The following is a 21,054-nucleotide window of genomic DNA, read 5'->3' as shown; positions in this document are numbered from 1 at the left end:
ACCTTGTGATCCGCCCACCTTGGCCTCCCAAAGTGTTGGGATTACAGGCTATTTGTTTATTCATTACAAGGCATAAAAAATATGGCCCAGGCGGATCACCTGAGGTCACAAGTTTAAGACCAGCTTGGCCAACATGGTGAAACCTCGTCTCTACTAAAAATACAAAAAAATAAGCCGGGCATGATAGCGAGTGCCTGTAATCCTAGCTACTCGGGAGGCTGAGGTGGGAGAATCGCTTGAACTCGGGAGGCGGAGGTTGCAGTGAGCCAAGATCGCGTCACTGCACTCCAGCCTGGGTGACAGAGCGAGACTCTGTCTCAAAAAAAAAAATGTATATCTATATCTATATGCCCCAGGAAATGTCCTTAGTCTCTTGTGAGTCTACTTGTATTAAAAAAATTATATTATGGAAAATTCCACACACAAAAATAGAGAATGAACCCCCACATTCCTATCCTCCAGCTTTGACAATTATTAGCTTGTGGACAAACGTGTTTTATCTTTACTCCACTGTTAAGGACTAAATGTTTGTGTCTCCCCCAGATTCACATGTGGAAGCTCTAACCCCCAATGTGACAGTATTAGGAGGTGGGGCCTTTGGGAGGTGACTGGGTTTAGCTGAGGTCTTGATGGTGAGGCCTTCATGATGAGATCGATGTCCTTTTAAGAAGAGGAGGAGACTAGAGTTCTCTTTCTCTCTCTCTCTCTCTCTCTCTCTCTGTGTGTGTGTGTGTGTGTGTGTGTGTGTGCGCCATGTGAGGATACAGCAAGGAGCCTGTCCGTAAACTGGAAGAGGGCCCTCACAACACACGAAATCTTCTGGCACCTTGATCTTTCACTTCCCATCCTCCAGAGCTGTGAGAAACTAAATGTTTGTTGTTTGAGTCACCCAGTCTATGGAACTTTGTTATAGCAGCCTGAAATGACTAAAAACCCCTCCCAGTCCCCTTCCGCTCAGGGATATTTGAAGCACATTTCAAACCATCACTTCATATTATTATTTCATCCACAAATATTTCAGTATGTAAGTCTAAAAGATAGGAACTCTTTTTTAAAAAATGATTACCTTTATCATTATCCATGATTTCTTAATATTACCAAATCTCCAGTGTTCATATTTCCCAGGTTTACATATAGACAAAGACTCTCTTTTTGACTAAAACTTCAGTCAGTCTCCTGAGTCTTTTCTGACTAGGCCTAAACTTGGGCTTCCCTCTCTGTCTGTGTAGAAGCCAGTTGGAGCAAGAATCCTACAGTCAGTTCAGTGAAAATTCCTCAACCTTGGTATGTGACCACTCTTGATATATTACCACCCTGGTCTGCCTTCAGCAATAATCCTGTAAAGTCTGTTTAGCCAGAAACTTCTTATCCTTGCTGTTTCTTCTTAGTAATTTTCCATCCACTGACCCCACCCTGATCTTTGGTTATAAATCCCCACTTGTCCTTGCTGCAGTCAGAGTCAAGTGTAATCTCTCTCCTCCAATGCAAGACCTTGCTGCAGTGGACCCTATACCTATCACCATGGTCACCCCTGAATAAAGTCTGCCTTATCATCTTTAATAAGTGTCATGGGCTGGGCACGGTGGCTCACGCCTGTAATCCCAGCACTTTGGGAGGCCAAGGCGGGCAGATCATGACATCAGGAGATCAAGACCATCCTGGCTAACAGGGTGAAACCCTGTCTCTACTAAAAATACAAAAATTTGGTTGGGGGTGATGGCATATGCTTGTATTCCCAGCTACTTGGGAGGCTGAGGCAGGAGAATCGCTTGAACCCTGGAGATGGAGCTTGCAGTGAGCTGAGTTTGCGCCACTGCACTCCAGCCTGGGTGACAAAGCGAGACTCTGTCTTAAAAAAAAAAAGTGTCATGAGTAATTTTTTCTGTATAAATATATATATTTACAGTTTCTTTATTTGAATCAGGATTCTTAGAAAGTCCATACATTATATTAATAATTCACTGATATATCACTTAAGATTCTCTTCATCTGTTGCTTCCTACTCAATCTCTTTTTATTCCTTCAAAATGACTTTTTAACAGAAATCAGGTTGTCTTGTTGAGTTTCCTACATCCAGATTTTACTGACTGCTTTGCCACAGTGTAGTTTAATATGCTCCCCTGCCCTTAATTTCCATAAATTGGTAGTTAGATCTCGGCTTGATTAGATTCAGTTTTGATTTTTATTTTTTGGTGGGGGGGGCAAGACTTTTTAAAAAGTATTTTGTGTACTTTAATAAGAAGGTTCATAATGTCTGCTTGACTCTTTGTGATTTAAAAAGCTATTGATGGTCATTGCCCAGATCCATTTGGTTTACTAAGGGTTGCAAAGTGGTGATGTTTTAATTCTATCATTCCCTCTTCATGTATTAGCTGGAATATTTCTACAAAAAGCAAATTGCCCTTATTAACTTTTTCCACTGAAGATTTCCCCATATCTTTAACTATACTTTTAAAATACTGTTTTTAAAAGTTGTAGGCCAGGCGCAGTGGCTCACACTTGTAATTGCATGCCTTTGGAAGGCCCAGGTGGGAGGATTGCTTGAGTCCAGAAGTTCAAGACCAGGCTGGGCAATAGAGTGAGACCTGTCTCTACAAAAAATAAAAAATAAAATTAGTGGAGTGTGGTGGCATGTACCTGTAAAGTACCAACTACTTGGGAGGCTGAAGTAGGAGGATCACTTGAGCCTGAGAGGTCAAGGCTGCAGTGAGCCATGATCATACCACTGTACTCCAGCCTGGAAAACAGAGTGAGATGGTCTCAAAAAAAAAAGTTGTAGTGTTTTCTTTCTTAAGTATGTACCATATTTTATATACCCATACCCTAACTGCTAGAGATATATAATGTTTCTGATTTTTCACTCTGTAAACATTGATGGGATCAACATTCTTATATATTTCTTATATATAAATCTTTATTTAGATGTCTGGTTATTCAATTAGAATAGAATCCTAGCAGTGGAAGTCCAAAGGATAAACAGCTTGGTAACTTCTTACTAAATATTAAAATGTTTCTTCCTGAAAAGTGCCAGTTGACTCCCTCTACCAATGAGAGTTCCTGTTTCCCTAAATCCTTACCATTCTCACATGTTTAATGTGTTTGTGTTCCATGTTTTATGTGAACTGTAAATGGTAACAAGTGAATTAGGAATGTATCTACTATACAGTGAGAAAATTTAAGGTTTGATATTTTATTTTATAGAGTACAGAGAAATAACACAAAGCAATTGCTCACATATGAGAAAATAAAAATTAATCTGTAGAATTTCAAAACCATAAAGAACTATTGAGCTACTTGGTAGGTCTCATGTTTATTCATCTATTGTTCTCAGGAACTAATGGTTATTATAGTGTGTGTGTATGTGTGTGTGACTTATTTTTCTAAAAATTTTGAAGTAATGTTTTTAAAATGTAAATTTCAGACTATAACTGTAATATGCTAATAGAAAAATACTGCTCTGAGGAAAAGCATTTTAGAAATAATGCTCCAGGCTCGCAATTGTCATTTTGTAATTTAAAAGTTTTCTTTAGTTGAGTATAATAAGGAAGGTTATTGTATTAGTTCATTTTCACACTGCTATAAAGATACTACTTGACACTCGGTAATTTATAAACAAAGGAGGTTCCACTGACTCACAGTTCCACGTGGCTGGGGAGGACTCAGGAAACTTACAATCATCGTGGAAGGGGAAGCAGGCACCTTCTTCACAAGGTGGCAGGAGGGAATGTGAGTGTGCGAAGGAGGAACTGTCAAACACTTATTAAATCATCAGATCTCATGAGAACTTAGTCACTATCATGAAAACAGCAAGGGGGAAAACACCCCCCCATGATCCAATCACTTCCCTCCCTCGACACATGGGGATTATAATTCAAGATGAGATTTGGGTGGGGACACAGAGCTAAACCATATCAGTTATCCTATTTCTTTGCTGGAAAATTTAGGAGTTTTGAGATCTGGATCAGAATCTTACTCTACAGATTAATAAATATGTATGTCTCTGTGCCTTACTTTCCTCAGGACTGAAATTCAGCTGGGAGGCCCTAGGACAGCTATTTCGGTAGCTTAAAGCTGGCCTCAGTGCTGATTGTTGCTGGGCCACACTAGCTGTTAAACCTTTTGAGTATCATCCTTCTGATATGAATATCAACCTGTAGTTTGCAGCTTCTTACTTTTGTTGTGGGTTCAAGGATGCCTATCTAAATCCTAATAAAGTCTGTGTAGGATCTGGAAGGTAGCAATTTAACCTCTGATGATTACATGACTTTTACAAAAAGAGTTGTAAAAGGATGTGCTTCCTTACTTAAGTGGTCTATTTGCTTTTTAGCTTTTCAGAAGAGATAACTGGGAAGTTTATTACTTTAGATGAGTCTTCTACAGAGTTTTGTAATGGGACTTATGGGCTTACTATTGTCTCAAGTTCTGGGAAATGACAAAATATGCATTTAAATATCAATTCTTGAGCTGGGTGCAGTGGCTCATGCCTGTAATCCCAGCACTTTGGAAAGCCGAGGCGGGTGGATCACCTAAGGTCAGGAGTTCAAGACCAGCCTGGCCAACATGATGAAACCCCATCTCTACTAAAAATACAAAATTACTTCGGTGTGGTGGCACATGCCTGTAGTCTCAGCTATTCAGGAGGCTGAGACATGAGAATTGCTTGAACCTAGGAGTCAGAGGCTGCACTTAGCCGAGATTGCACCACTGCACTCCAGCCTGTGCGAGACAGAGTGAGACTCCATCTCAAAAATAAATAAATAAATAAAATAAAAATAAAAATAAATTCTCGTTGTAAAAAACTGGTGAAATCCAAATAAGATCTGTCCCTGAGTTAATAGTATTGTACCAACTGCAATTTTCTGGTTTTGACAATATACTATTGATAGAGGCAAGAGGCAGACAAATGCCTAGGCAGATAAAAAAGGGTCTCTGGAAGATCTCCGACCTGCTGCACAAATGTTTACACCAGATATTTTTGTGCAGATAAGGGAACCTGCACAGGGTCTTGTCAGGGCATGCCCGCAATGGACTGGAGGATTGGGGTGGAGCCACCAGGAGTTCACACCTTACGCAGGGGAGCAGCCTGTCCTCTTCAGCTCATGTGTGGCAGCCTGGTATTCAATCTATGAGGTTGGAGCCTGCTGGCGTGACCTTCTCTTTTTGCTGACAGCTTTCTTTTCACTTAAAAAATTCCGCCCTCCTCACCCTTCAATGTGTCTGCATGCCTAATTTTTCCTGGTCATGAGACAAGAAACCTGATTTAGCTGAACTAAGGAGCAAAAAATCCTGCATCACTATGGTTTTGTAACATATTAGGAAAAGCTGGATGAAGAGTACAAGGGAACTTGCTGTACTATTTTTGCAAATTCTTGTGACTCAAACTGTTTAATAATATAATATTTAAAAAACAACAACCAATGCTTGACATGAAGGTGTTAAATATTATTTTCTTTTACATTTCGTTAACCAGACATTTATTTATTTATTTATTTATTTTTTGAGACAGAGTCTCACTCTGTTGCCCAGGCTGGAGTGCAGTGGTGTAATCTCAGCTCACTGCAACCTCTATCTCCTGGGTTCAAGCAATCCTCATGCCTCAGCCTCCCGAGTAGCTGGGATTACAGGCAGGCACCACCACACCTGGCTAATTTTTGTATTTTTAGTAGAGACAGTGTTTCACCATGTTGGCCAGGCTGGTCTCAAAATCCTGACCTCAAGTGATCCACCCACCTTGGCCTCCCAAAGTTCTGGGATTACAGGCATGAGCCACCGTGCCCAGCCTGTTAACCAGACTTTTAATCATCTCTTTATGGTATTTACATGTTCCTCTTTCTTTCCTTCTGATCCTTCCAGGTCACTAATAACTTTCTGACCTGTTATTTTTCACACTTTTCTCTATGTTTATATAATAGCCTACAAATAAATAAATACATATATGGATATTTACATTTTCATTTATTTCATAATAATGTGACTAAATTGTATATACTTTCCTGCAGATTGTTTTTCTTACTTGAAAATACATTGTGAAAAATCTCTTCAATTTACTTGGTATAAATGGAATTCTGTCCTTTTAATGGCTTCATTGTAGTCAATGAATCACACAGCTTATTCAACCATTCCCCTACTAATTGGTGTTTATTTCCTTCACAATGTTTTGCTACTCAAATATTTTTATACTAAATATTTTAGAAATGTATATTTTGGACTGATGCTTTTATATCTGTTGGATAAATTCTCAGGGATTTATCTGTGGGATTACTAGATTGAAATAATATGATTTAAACATTTTTAAAGGTATTTTCAGACTTCTTTCCTAAATGGCTTCACTATTTCACATTTTCAGCAGTGAAATAGAGCATACTTTTTCCTGCATCCCTACCACTAGTAGGTGTTATATCTAATCCATGCTTTGTGTGTTCACAGAAGTTATATTTCACTAACATATTAATTTATATTTCCCTAACAAACAGTGAGATCCAGCAGCCTTGCAATGTTTATTATCCTTCGGATTTTTTGTAAATTGTTATTCATAACTTTTGCCCTTTTTCTACTAGATTGTTTTTGCCATTTTCTTGATAATTTGCAAGAGCTCCTAATATATTACACATATTATGTATCTTTCATATGTATTGCTAGTATTTCCTCTATTTTTTGCCTTTTGTCTATGTTTATGATATCTTTTGCTATACCACCTTTAATTTTTTTAATGTTGTGAAATATGTCTATATTTTTCTTTACCGTCTTCTTAGTTTCCTTTTTTTAGAGTCTTTCCAACTCCCAAATTACACATGCATTATGTAATTTTTCTGATGCTTTTGTTATTTTATTTAGTTGTTTTATATTCATATAGAGCTAATGTACTGATTATTAAGCTATCATCATTCAGCTTCAAATCCACCCTTCTGTATTCTGCTTTGTGATGTGGGTCTGGGACTCTGCAAACCACATTTCTGCTTTGCCAGCTGGTTCCCTGCTAAGCCCTGCCAGTGGGAGGCAGGAGAGGGAGACTGGGTGGATAAAGGAAGAATACAGGGCTTGATCTTTTTTATCTTTTCTTTGTTCCTGTCAGCATCACTTAAGCAAAGAATCTTCACACAGTAGTAACTTGGTTCTAGGGTGGCAGTGGGTTTCAGTTTGTGGTTTTTCCAATTCTTGCAGAAACATCCTCATTGCACTCCCTTAGAAATGCCAGCCAATGGGCACCCCACCTGTCCATGCTTTCAGCGATCTGACTTCCAGTTCAATGAGCCCCATCTCCAACCTCCTAAGTTTTTTTTTTTTTTTTTTTTTTCTGAGACGGAATTTTGCTCTTTCGCCCAGGCTGGAGTGCAGTGGCGCAATCTTGGCTCACTGCAAGCTCCACCTCCTGGGTTCACACCTTTCTTCTGCCTCAGCCTCCCGAGTAGCTGGGACTACAGGTACCTGCCACCACACCCGGCTAATTTTTTGTATTTTTAGTAGAGATAGGGTACCAACCTTCTAAATTTTAATAATCCCCACTCCTTCCCTTTGTTCTCCCAGTCCTATGGGTAGTAGCTGCTTTCTGCATTTTCCCTGTGATATCTCAGTGTCCTCTTTCTGCCTTTTTATTCCCTGAGTTCCTAGTTAACAATTCTTTATATTAAATCCTCTCTGTTAAAATAGCTGGTATGGTTTCTGCTTCCTGCCTGGGCCTTGAGTGTTACTGTTGAATTTGTCAGTCTTTTCCTTTAGGATTTTTGCATGTTGAGACATGCTTTTGATGTTGGGAATTTCACAGATGCCAGTTTTTTTTCTCTTTAAATGGCTAATTAATTGTCCCAACAGCATTTATTGTCTACTTCATCTTTCCCTACTGATTTTAAAATATGTTTTGATATATAGAACTTCAAAATTTTTGTATAGTCAAACTTATCAATTCATCCTTTATGATTTTTTTTTTGTTTTGGTGTTACTGATAAAAAGGATAAGTTCAGTCCCATTTCTCTGGGTCATGTCCTTTCTTACCTTCCACCATGAAATGACCTTTGCTACATGTTGGCACCATGCTCTTGGACTTCCCAGCCTCAAGAACTGTGAGCCAAGTAAACTTCTGTTCATTACAAATTACCCAGTGTATGACAGTCTGTTATAGCAGCAGACAGTGAACTAAGACACACTGGAGTTCAGACAATAATCATGCCTGTTTTCTTTCTGTGTTCTTGTACTACATTATACTGCCTCACTTAGCATAGTAGTTTTCAACATTTTAAAAATTGAGATTCACTGTAAGAATATATTTTGCGGCCAGGCGCGGTGGCTCATGCCTGTAATCCCAGCACTTTGGGAGGCCAAGGCGGGCAGATCACCTGAGGTCAGGAGTTCGAGACCAGCCTGGTCAACATAGTGAAACCCTGTCTCTACTAAAAATACAAAAATTAACTGGGTGTGGTGGCACGTGCCTGTAATCCCAGATACTTGGGAGGCTGAGGCAGGAGAATTGCTTGAACCCGGGAGGCCAAGGTTGCAGTGAGCCGAGATCGCGCCATTGCACTCCAGCCTGGGCAATAGAGCAAGACTCTGTCACACACAAAAAAGGAATATGTTCTGCTCTGTCAATGAGTATACGTACACGTTTCTATAAAATTGAAACAAAAATTTCACAAAATAATATTTGTGGCAGAGATTTTTACTACTTACAACTTCCAAGAAACCTCCTTAAATGGAGGTTTCAATTTTCCTTTTCCTTTCCTTTCTTTTACTTGCTGACTGAAATGTGGGCATGATGGCTTGAGCTAGAATTGCCATTTTGAAGCATGAGATGACCTTGAGAATGGAACAAGAAAGAAGCAGTCTGAGTGAGGACTTCCTGGAATGGAGCCACTTGATGCTTAGTCTGCCTACATTTGAAGTTTAACATGAAAAATAAATTCGTTGTTTTGTGTTTTACTGTTACTCCCAGCCAAGTTAATGCTTACAAATACATTTTCTGTAGCGTTTATGCCAATTTACACTTCTGCCAATAATGTATGAGCACTATTTCTCCACAGCTTCATACGGGTATGTTGTCAAACTTTTGGATTTTGATAATCTTGAAAGTAAGAAAAAATATCTTTTAATTTGCACTTCTCTTATTATGAGTCAGGTTAAACAGCTTTTAGTATGTGGAAGGGTCATTCATTATATTTCTTTTTCTGTTGTTTGAAGTAACTTTAGATGGATTAAATTTAACAGAGTTTAATCGGGCAAATAATAATTTGTGAATTGGGGAGCCCCTTGAACCAGAATAGGTTAAGAGAGACTCCAATGCTGCCACATGGCCTGAAAGGATTTATGGACAGAAAAAGGAAAGCAACGTACAGAAATAGAAATGAGGTACAAAAACAGCCGGATTGGTTACAGCTTGGCATTTGACTTATTTGAATACTAAACAGTTGGCTATTCATGAGTGGATAAAATATGGCTTCTGTGATTGGCTGAGACTTGGCTGCTTGTTACAAAAGTCGGTTTCAGTCTGTTTACATGTCCAGTTAGGTTACGGTTCAATATGTACAGAAAAACCTTTAGGCTGAACTTAAAAGGAAGCAGCTTCCGACTAAATTTAATTTAACAATTGCCACCTCTTGGTCAACCTCTTCACCTCTTAGTCAACTTCTCAATTTTGAGAGGTTGACCAAATTTTTAGGCATTGATGTCACTCTGTCCCCATTGTGATGTTCTTATTTGGTCTCAAATCCCTCTGAGAGACAGTAGAACAGTGGGCTTTGTAAGATGAGAACATGGACTTCAGCTTCAGGTTACTTTTTTTTTTTTTGAGACAGAGTCTCACTCTGTCACCCAGGCTGGAGTGCAGTAGCACGATCTTGGCTCAATGCAACCTCCACCTCCTGGATTCAAGCAATTCTCCTGCCTCAGCCTCCTGAGTAGCTGGGATTACAGGCACCCACCACTATGCCCAGCTAATTTTCAGAGTCTTAGTAGAGACAGGGTTTTGCCATATTGGCCAGACTGGTCTTGAACTCCTGACCTCAGGTGATCCACCTGCCTTAGTCTCCCAAAGTGCTGGGATTATAGGAGTGAGACACTGCACATGGCCACTTTTTTTTTTAATAAGGGTTATAGCAGAGGGGACCTCCTTGTGCTGGAATCTCTTGTTTTCAGGAGAAAACAAAACCTACTCTATGTTAGGATCTATTTGTTTCCTTAAAGTTTTAGTTTAATTCTGTTGTATTTAGTATGAGTGACTTCATTTTGGCTTGGCCTGATCTGTTGGCGCCTAGTGTATGAGCTCAGTCCTCAACAATGGCCTCCCATAATTTTGTTAAAATATTTCCCCCTTGTGGTCAGGTTCTCACTTAGGTAAGACCAAAATTTAGGGCCACTCTCAGTTACCATCATTTTGGGTTTCTGGCTTCAGCATGTCATTCACACGTTATGGCAACTTCACGATCATACTTTTTTTTGAGTTTTTGTCATCCTAGTCAGAGAGGGGCTGATATGGTTTGGCTGTGTCCCCGCTCAACTCTCACCTTGAATTGTATTAATCCCCATGTGTCAAGGGTGGGGCCAGGTGGAGATAACTGAATCATGGGGGCAGTTTCTCCCATATTGTTCTTGTGGTAGTGAATAAGTCTCATGAGAGCTGATGGTTTTATAAATGGGAGATCCCCTGTACAAGCTCTCTTGCCTGCTTGTAAGATGAGAATTTGCTCCTCATTAGCCTTCTGCCATGCTTTTGAGGTCTCCCCAGCCATATGAAACTGCGAGTCAATTAAAACTCTTTCCTTTATAAATTACCCAATCTCATGTATTTTTTCATAGCAGTGTGAGAACGAACTAATACAGGGTCCATTTGACATTCTACGCATGGCTGTAAGAGAATTTAAAGAAGTCTGTTGTGCAACCATGGACTTTGTAGTAGAATTTGCTATAAGGTCTATTATGAGGAATAAATGTTTAATTACTGAATCATTTACTCCAAATCATGTAAAAAGAGACCTAGCAAATGATGTCCATCCAAAAGAGTGAAGGCCTCCTGCCAATGTTCTCTTTAACCTATGATACAAGCTAAGAGGAGTGGACCAATATTTTGTTTTTTGATTCATTATGAAGCAACAAATGTATATTAAAATTTTTCACACATGTTGGTCCTTTATCTTTTATCAATGCATAATGTTGTCCATGTATAAGTTTATAAGGTTGCTTAAAAAATCCTCTACAAATAAAAGTACACTCCAGAAATGCACATAAGAGACTCATTTTCTGGTTTTATTGTGGGTTTTTCTTTTGAGACAGGGTTTTGCTCTGTTGCCCAGGCTGGAGTGCAGTGGTGTGATTATAGCACACTGTAGCCTCAAACTCCTGAGCTCAAGTGATCATCTTGCTTCAGCCTGCTAAGTAGCTGGGACTATTGGTGCATGCCACCAAGTCTAGCAAATCATTTTCATATATTTGGAGTAGGGGGTCAACCCATAATTTGACCACAAACAGTGTCTCACTGTGTTGCCCAGTCTGGTCTTGAACTCCTGGCCTCAAGCAATCTTCCTGCCTTGGCCTCCTAAGGCACTGGGATTACTGACATGAGCCACTGACCCCAGCCTAGTTTTATTGTTCATAGAGGTGTGAGCAAGGAAAAAACTGACAGGTAAGAGCTTCATGATAGTAGAGAAGCCCTGATCATTAATCTGTCATCTTGCAAAAGTTGTCCACATCTAGGATGTTGTCTGTTTCTGAGGAGAAACTTTGCTGGTTAGTGTAGGAGTTCAGTCAGGGTGGTGGGAGAAATTGTAAAATAGACACAAACCTTCTTGGAAGGCTGGAAGGTTTTGCAAAAGCCTCAGGATAGCGTTATGGCTGAAAGCAGCCTAATCCTCTTACCTTGAGTTAATAGCTGAGAGGAGGTACAAAGGAATGTAAAGGAGTTTATCTAAAGAGCTTGTTTACTCATGTGGTGCTGACCTTTGATCATTTGTAGGACTGCTCTCTCCTGGGAGAGTGACCATCTTAATTATCCACAAGTGTGTTAACTCAAAGCCTTTGTCATTAAATCTGTACTAAATAAATGTGAACTTCGCCGGCTTATCAAGGTTGACACTGTGGACTCAGGCAGCAGATCCCCTTAGCCGTGCTGACGGGCAAAATATCTGTGTCAGTGTACATCTTTCATCTGTCACGGGGTAAGGGTCTGTGGGTCAGACCCGGCAGGTGGTGCCCCATGTGAGGAACGCTGCCACGAATTGTGAGAGAACCCTCAAAAACGAAGGTGAAGAAGACTGCACAGTTAGTAAATCAGTAAGTCATTGGTACCTGCTTGGGATTTCCAAGTTTGAGGGAATTGTTCAGGCTAGGTTTCATCATGGGACAACAGTTATCAGCTCAACAGCAACAGTAGATAAAAGTATTGAAACAGCTGCTTAAAATTAGTGGAGCCTCGGTTTCACAGGCTCAATTAAGGGACCTAATGCAAACTGTTGTATCCCATAACTCATGGTTCCCAGAAGAAGGTACACTAGACGTAGAGTTCTGGGAACAAGTGGAGAGAAATCTTAAACAACATCATGCGCAAGGGCAACAGGTCCCAGTAACATCTCTAATGTTATGGGCCTTAATTAAGGCAGCTCTGGCCTCGTTATACACAGAAAAGCCTAAAAAGGGAAGGAAGGAGAAACAGTCACCTACTTTACCACCTCCTTATCCCTTAGCCCTGCTATCACTGAGCCAAAATAACAAAGAGGATACGGAGGTTTTGCCTGAGCCCCCTCTTCCAATAAATTGGAAAAAAGACAGGGGATACGCTATAGCTATGGGACCCTGTCTTAGGCAAGCGGCATTAGAAGGGGAGCTCTTAGCCTGCCAGGTAATACAAGATTAACAAGGCAATCAGGTACATAAAGAGATAAGGAAAAGCATTAGAGATAACGGAGCCGCTAGCCCATTTAATGAAAGGATTAATTGAGGCCAGAGCAGACAACTTCTATATGACTCCATGGGACTGGTCAGTGCTAGCTAAAACAACTTTAAACGCCAGTCAGTACCTCCTCTGGAGGGCAGAATTTGATGAATTATGTGAACTGCAAACCTCTTTCTAATAATGGCCACTGTTATTCCTCCACTACCCTTGACGTGGCTCCCTTGAAATCCTATTTGGGTAGAACAGTGACCTTAGAAGGGAGAGAAATTACATAGAGCCCATGAATTAGCTGAGGAGCAATTAAAAGCCGGTTATATAGAACCATCTAACAGCCCTTGGAATTCACCCATTTTCGTCATTCCCCAAAACTCTGGTAAATGGAGACTTTTGCATGACTTACGTGCTATTAATGCTAATTTGCAGTCTACGGGGCCTCTTCAACAGGACCTCCCCTCCCCCGCAGCGATTCCTCAAGATGGGCCTATAATCGTTATTGACTTAAAGACTGTTTTTATAGGATTCCCCTTGCAGAACAGGACAGAGAAAAATTTGCATTTACAATACCAGCTATCAATAATGAAAGGCCAGTTTGTTGATTTCACTGGAGAGTGCTTCCTCAAGGAATGCTGAACAGTCCTACCGTGTGTCAGTATCATGTAAATCAGGCTTTGCTCCCCAGTAGAAAATTATTTCCTAATTGCAAGATTATCCATGTTATGGATGATATTTACTAGCAGCCCCAACAGAGCGAGTACTTTTTTTTTTTTTTTTGAGACAGAGTCTTGCTCTGTCGCCCAGGCTAGAGTGCAGTGGCACAATCTCGGCTCACTGCAAGCTCCACCTCCTGGGTTCACACCATTATCCTGCCTCAGCCTCCTGAGTAGCTGGGACTACAGGCGCCCGCTACCACGCCCACCTAATTTTTTGTATTTTTAGTAGAGACAGGGTTTCACCGTTTTAGCCAGGATGGTCTCGATCTCCTAACCTCGTGATCCGCCCGCCTCGGCCTCCCAAAGTGCTGGGATTACAGGCGTGAGCCACCATGACCAGCCTGGAGTGAGTACTTTTAAAATTACATGCCTCTGTGGTAAAGAATACACAGTTAAGAGGTTTAATCATAGCACCTGAGAAGATACCAATGTCCTCTCCTTGGAAATATCTTGGATACATACTAACTTCCTCAATCAGTAAGTCCTCAAAAGGTTAAATTAAATACTAGCAACTTACACACCTTAAATGATTATCAAAAATTACTGGGCGATATTAACTGGCTTCGCCCCACCTTGGGCGTATCTATTGATAAGTTGCAAAACCTGTTTTGTATCTTAAAGGGCAATACAGCCCTGGACTCTCCCAGATATTTAACTCCTGCAGCACAAAGGGAAATTGAAGAAATAGAACAAGCTATTTCCCAAAGGCAACTAGTTCGCATAGACACCCAATATTCCATCCAATTGTTTATTTTCCCTAATAAACACTCCCCTACAGGGTTAATAGGACAGATGGCCCCAGGGCTACGCTTTCTAGAATGGGTTTTTTGCTCACATACCAGGATTAAAACACACTCGACCTATATCCAGTTAGTCAGTAAAGTCATCTATTCAGGCCGCAGACTATGCAATCAGTTGCTAAGTTATGACCCTGATGTCATAAGAATTCCTTTGAGTAAAAAGCCATTTGAAGCAGTATTGCCCCTCTCTTTAGATCTTCAGACAGCACTCTCTGATTACACAGGCCATTTAGAACATATGCTTACTGCTGACAAGCTCCTTCAGTTCTTATCTCGTACTTCTATGGTTTTGCCTACAAAAATTTCAATCCCCCATACCTAACACTTTAACACTGTTTACCGACGGCTCTGGTAAACATGGAAAGGTGGCTGTTTGGTGGAGAACACATAATTTCCTCACTTGTTCTGGATTTACTAGCACTCAGAGAGCTGAGGTTGGAGCCTTAATATTGGCCTTGGAAACTTTTTCTGCGCAGCTCATCAATATTGTTAGTGACTCTACTTACTCTATTTATTGCAGAACCTGAGACAGCCCTAACTAGGTCTACTCTAGAGCCCATCCTGTGTGCACTTTTTCTCCAGCTTCAGCAATTGCGAGATCAACGTACAAATCCTATTTTTATTACACACATTCAGGCCCACAGTTCACTGCCTGGCCCATTGGCTTATGGCAATGATCAAGCAGACCTAAAAGTTATGACATCACTGCTTGACCAAGCCACCCAATCACATCAACTTTTCCACCAAAATTGGAGAAACTGAACTAAACAATTTCAACTTACCCAAAGACTAGCTAAACAAATTATCCTGCAATGCCCAGATTGCCAGCTCACAGGCACGTCCCCTTCTTCTACAGGTGTTAACCCTAGAGGACTAGAACCTAATCAGTTATGGCAAACATGTTACACACGTCCCTGAATTTGGAAAACTAAGATATGTACATGTATCCGTTGATACCAACATTCATCTAATTAGTGCACACGCTCTTCCTGGAGAGTCCACTGGATATGTCATTAAACATCGTCTTTTAACTTTTGCATTTATGGGGCGGCCCACAAAAATTAAAACTGATAATGGTCCAGCTTATGCCAGCTCATAATTTCAACAATTTTATCACACACAGAACATCCAGCATTCCACAGGCATCCCGTATAACCCCCAAGGACAGGTCATAGAACAGGCCCACTCTACCCTTAAAAATATGCTCAGAAAACCAAAAGGGGGAGTATGGGTAAGGACCCTGGAACACAACTAGCACAAGCCTTATTTACCCTTAATTTTTTAAATTTAGATGACAAATTTCAATCAGCTATAGAAAAGCACTTTGCTAAAACCTCTCAAGACAAAACCCACAGTTTTATGGAAGGATGTAAATAGTAATGAATAGTGTGGTCCAAATGATTTGCTAACATGGGGAAGAGGATATGCTTGTGTTACACCCCCTCAGGTCCTCTTTGGATTTTAGCACGATGCATCAAACCATACCATGGCGTGGCTAGGACCCAACCCAGTACCAGAAATAAAGAAAATGACCCTACAGGACCCACAGCCCTGGACAATGCGGCTTCCTTGGACAACACAGGCCCCAGACAGGATGCCGAAGAAAACAACTCAGAAGGTGAAGCGCATCCTGCTCCAAACACAAACACCATTCACAACCAAATAATTTATTCCTTTTTTAATTTTCTCACTCTGCCTGCAACCAGTACCTGCTACACTCTATTGGGCTCATCTCTTAAATCTGCCTTTCTTCTGCCCTGTTACTTTGACAAACACCCTCTTCCCAGCTTCCAACAACGTGACTGCTTAACTAAGAGGGATTAACATACCCCCAGTGGGGTTCCTTAGTAACGGCACACATCGAACTGAAGTGCCAGGTAACACTACAGGTCACTCCTTGATTAGAAAAGAATATTGCTAATTATACTCATGTTTGTTTTATGTTATTTACTAATTCTAAGATGCAAAGCCAGAATATGAGCAGTGACCACCGCACCTGACAGACCTGTTGCTGCACACATCTGTACTCTCTAATCAACGAAACCTGATGCTAAAAACAGAAAAGGTGGAGATGTAGTTCAGTCAGGGTGGTGGGAGAAATTGTAAAATAGACACAAACCTTCTTGGAAGGCCGGAAGGTTTTGCAAAAGCCTCAAGATAGGTTATGGCTGAGAGTGGCCTAATCCTCTTACCTTGAGTTAATAGCTTAGAGTAGGTATAAAGGAATGTAAAGGAGTTTACCTAAAGAGCTTGTTTACTCATGTGGTCCTAAGACCGACCTTTGATCATTCATAGGTCTGGTCTTTCCTGGGAGGACAACCACGTTAATTATCCACAAGTGTGTTAACTCAAAGCCTTTGTCATTAAATCTGTACTAAATAAACGTGAACTTCGAGAATTATCAAGGCCGACGCTGTGGACTCAGGCAGCAGAGCCCCTTAGCTGTGCTGACGGGCAAAATATCTGTGTCAGTGTATGTCTTTTATCTTTCACTGGGTCAGGGTCTGTGGGTTGGACCTGGAAGGTTAGCTTTGCCTTAAGGTGTCTAATGGGTGTATAGTTCCCAGAGTGGGAAGGGGCCTTTCTGAGTTGTGAGATTACAAACCCAAGTTTCAAGGTTCCAAAGTTTTGCTGCAGTGTGAGTGGCAAGGGCAGTCTTTCTCTGATCATTTCCAAAAGACCCAATCTCTGGGTTTTAGATCCATGAAGGGTTAGATTGCCCTCAGTCCGTGGACCACAAAAAGCTTTCTTTATCTAGTGAAAATACACTTGGGCATTGTGTTAGGTTGTTCTTGTGTTGCTATAAAGAAAAGGAATACCTGAAACTGGGTAATTTATAAAGAAAAGAGATTTAATTGACTCATGGTTCCTGCAGGGTGAGCAGGAAGTGTGGTGCCAGCATCAGCTTCTGGTGAGGGCCTCAGGAATCTTCCAGTCATGGTGACAGGCAAAGGCAGAGCAGACACATCACATGGCAAGAGTGGGGGCAAGCAGGGGTGTTGTCACACACTTTTAAACAATCAGATATTGCATGAACTCACTTATCACCAAAGGGCTGGTGCAGAACCATTCATGAGAGATCCACCCCTATGATTCAAACACCTTCTACCAGGCCCATCTCTAACTGGGAATTACATTTTAGCATGAGATTTGGAGGAGAAACATATCCAAACCATATTAGGCATAATGCATTTGCATTAATCCATTTGCATTACTATAACAGAATACCTGAGACTAGGTAATTTTTAAAGAAAGGTAGTTTAATTGGCTCTTGGTTCTACAGGCTGTACAAACATGATGCCAACATCTACTTGGCTTCTGGTGAGGACCTCGGGAAACTTACAGTTGTGGAAGGCAAAGTGGGAAGCCAGGATATTACGCGGCAACAGAGGGAGTAAGGGAGAACAAGGTGAGAGGGAGGTCCCAGACTTTCAAACAATCAGATTGCATGTGAACTAACTGAGCAAGAACTCACTTATCACCAAGGAGATTGTGCTAAACCATTCATGAGGGATCCGCCCCCATGATCCAATCACCTTTCACCAGGCCCCACCTCTAACATTGGGAATCATATTTCGATATGAGATTTGGAGGGTACAAATATCCAAACACATGCGCATTAAAACCTTGTAGCATTTAGTTATATCAGAATTTAGAAACAGAAGATATTTGAAGTTTTATTATTAGAAGCATAGGCCTTTTAGTGACTATTGTGTAAGAGGTCAACTTATGTTTTCACTGGAAGTAGATCTGATTGTCATTAAACTCTAATATCTTTGACCAAGGCAATCTAGTCAACTCAGTTAGCTTTGTCTAATGTTACTGTATCTGTAACACCTTATTTAACTATCTTACAACTTGTCCAGTGAAACAAGTATGTTTTTTGCTGGAGATTTCTTCAGGAACAACCCAGGAGGGAAACAAATTTTTAAAATAACCTTTTATCTATTGTTATAACATCAGCGCCCTTGCACGGGAAATCTTTTATAAAAACAACTAGAAAAGATGCCTTGAAAATGAAAAGTGAGTAAAATTCTTCTATAACTGTTTACATGGCCCATCAGGTAGAAAACATGTACCTGAAATTCTGATTGTCTTTCCAGGATTATGAATTTAAGAAACCAAACATTGGTCATAAACAATTTTAGCAATTTAGAATAGTCACCATGCCAATGTGTATTCTTTTCTTTCTTTCTTTTTTTTTTTTTTTTTGAGACAGAGTCCCACTATGTTGCCCAGGCTGGAGTGCAGTGGCACGATCTTCGCTTACTGCAACCTCACCTCCCAGGTTCAAGCAATTCTCCTGCCTCAGCCTCCTGAGTAGCTGGGATTGCAGGTGTGTGCCACCACACCCAGCTAATTTTTGTATTTTAGGTAGAGACGAGGTTTCACCATGTTGGTCAGGCTGGTCTTGAACTCCTGACCTCGTGATCCGCCTGCATCAGCCTCCCAAAGTGTTGGGATTACAGGCTTGAGCCACCGGGCCCGGCTGTCAATATATATTCTATTTGCATATTTGCATCATCTTATTTCTTCCTTAAGAGTCATGGAATGCACAGCTTTTAATAATGAAAGCTTTAAATACTCAGGAATAACTAGGCAGCCATCTAGGTTCTGAGTCTATGCTTAACATTGGATTTACATCTTCTTAAACTCTATTTTTGCTTTTCTAGTTCAGGTGCCTACCATTGTTTATTAGATGGGTTATCATATGTAATGTGATGTGGATCATGGAGTTCATTCAAATTGCATATCTAAACAATTTCAGTACCAGCTTCTTTAGCATGAAAATCTGGCAAAGTATTTTTTTGGTATTCAACTAATTTTTGTCCTGGTTGGGTTATCAGTTTTATAAACCAGTCTGTCTCTTTCTTAAGAGTTTTAGGAAATTCTTACCCAGTCCAAATGATATGGTTCTAAAGTCATCAGAAACCTGTATTTAAGCAAGTTTTGTCAGGGTCCTTTTTATCTTTTCCATGAACTTCTTTGAAGACACAATACACTAGAATTTTACTTGCTTTTGAAAAATTTTTAGAAACTGTTTCAGAATTAAGTAATCAACTGTGGAAATGACTTCAAATGGTTGTAAAGACACAACTGACAAGGAAATTTGGTTATTTCTGTGGCCTACAATAATTTAACATAATAACTATAATTATGACTGATAATATATCAAGACATATCAGAATGTTAGGAATCTCATATAATTTTGGAACATATATTAATAACATATCTATTAAAATATAACTTGAAGAACGTTAAACTTTATTCTTTATTTCACAATACTTTTCATATAATTTAACATATCAAACCATTTATCTCTCTTTTGGATGTTGTAAGAGCCCTCTGTAGTATCTCAAAGTTAGTTGCAGGTCAAAAAGACTGAATTTTGAATTCAAAATTTGATTTTGAGAAACATCAAATAGGTCAAAGGTTTAAAACAATCCAAATAGGATCACAGGTTACTGTAAAATAACAGTCATTCATTTAGCCAAAATGATAAAAGTTTTTTTTTATTTTTTTATTTTTATTTTTTTTGGGACGGAGTCTCGCTGTCGCCCAGGCTGGAGTGCAGTGGAGCAATCTCGGCTCACTGCAAGCTCCGCCTCCTGGGTTCACGCCATTCTCCCGCCTCAGCCTCCCGAGTAGCTGGGACTACAGGTGCCCGCCACCATGCCTGGCCAATTTTTTTGTATTTTTAGTACAGACAGGGTTTCACCATATTAGCCAGGATGGTCTCGATCTCCTGACCTCGAGATCCACCCACCTTGGCCTCCCAAAGTGCTGGGATCACAGGCATGAGCCACTGCACCTGGCCAATAAAAGGTTTTAAAAAGCAAAAACTTTATTCTTTGAGAGGGTACTGAGTTTTCCAAACAATTAACAGATCTAAGAAATAGCATAAGACAGAATCTTTCTCTCTTTTTCTCTTCTTGTCTTTTTTTGTCATTTACTCATAAGGTGAACAAAAATTTTTACTATCTATTAATACTACATGAAAATTTTTGTTTAAAAGAGAAAGCCATATTTTACTTTTGTATTTGTGTATTATAAATACTAAAGTTAATTTTACTAAAACCTTATAAACCAAATTATCTAATCTCAGTCATCTTTTGACTACACAAGATTTTTACAAACCTTTTATAACATATTGTAATGAATTGTTTTCACTTTTTATATTTAGCTTTATCATATCTTTTAAATTTTTTTAATTTGAAATAATCTTTAAGTAACTATTAAGTGAGATGAAATTATCTTTTTCTCAATAAACATACATTTTTATGTCTCTTATTTCAATAGCTTTAGGGGTACAAGTGGTTTTGGGGTACATGGATGAATTGTACAGTGGTGAAGTCTGGGCTTTTGTAGTACCCATCATCCAAGGCCATTTTCATGTTTTTACAAAGTTTTTCACTAAAAGCCCATCTATCTTTTCCTTTATTATTATTATTTTTTTTGAGACAAAGTCTTGCTGTGTCACCCAGGCTGGAGGGTAGTGGCATGATCATGGTTCACTGTAACCTCAGCCTTCTAGGCTCAAGCAATCCTCCCACCTCAGCCTCTGGAATAGCTGGGACTACAGGCACATGCCACCACACCTGGCTAATTTTTGAATTTTTTGTAGAGACAGGTTTTTGCCATGTTGCTCAGGCTGGTCTTGAATTTCTGGGCT

The 21,054-nt window shown here is 40.0% G+C and overlaps 1 long non-coding RNA gene across 8 annotated transcripts in view, besides 1 other annotated feature; it reads right to left on the bottom strand.

Annotated features, from left to right (window-relative positions):
• Positions 1–21,054, bottom strand: part of LOC105376177 (uncharacterized) — a 41,149-nt gene that overhangs the window by 13,273 nt on the left and 6,822 nt on the right. The gene's annotated exons all lie outside the window — the stretch shown is intronic.
• Positions 11,400–11,592: a silencer, noted in NCBI's record as "fragment chr9:103131616-103131808 (GRCh37/hg19 assembly coordinates)". NCBI's record gives its function as "represses an EF-1alpha promoter that drives an FKBP-Casp9 reporter gene in an ReSE screen in K562 erythroleukemia cells {active_cell/tissue: K562}" and the evidence as "EXISTENCE:reporter gene assay evidence [ECO:0000049][PMID:32094911]".

This window comes from Homo sapiens, chromosome 9 (genome assembly GCF_000001405.40).
Source record: "Homo sapiens chromosome 9, GRCh38.p14 Primary Assembly".
Taxonomy (NCBI): domain Eukaryota; kingdom Metazoa; phylum Chordata; class Mammalia; order Primates; family Hominidae; genus Homo; species Homo sapiens.
Note: the sequence above shows the minus strand (reverse complement) of the source record. Positions and strands in the feature narration are given on the sequence as shown.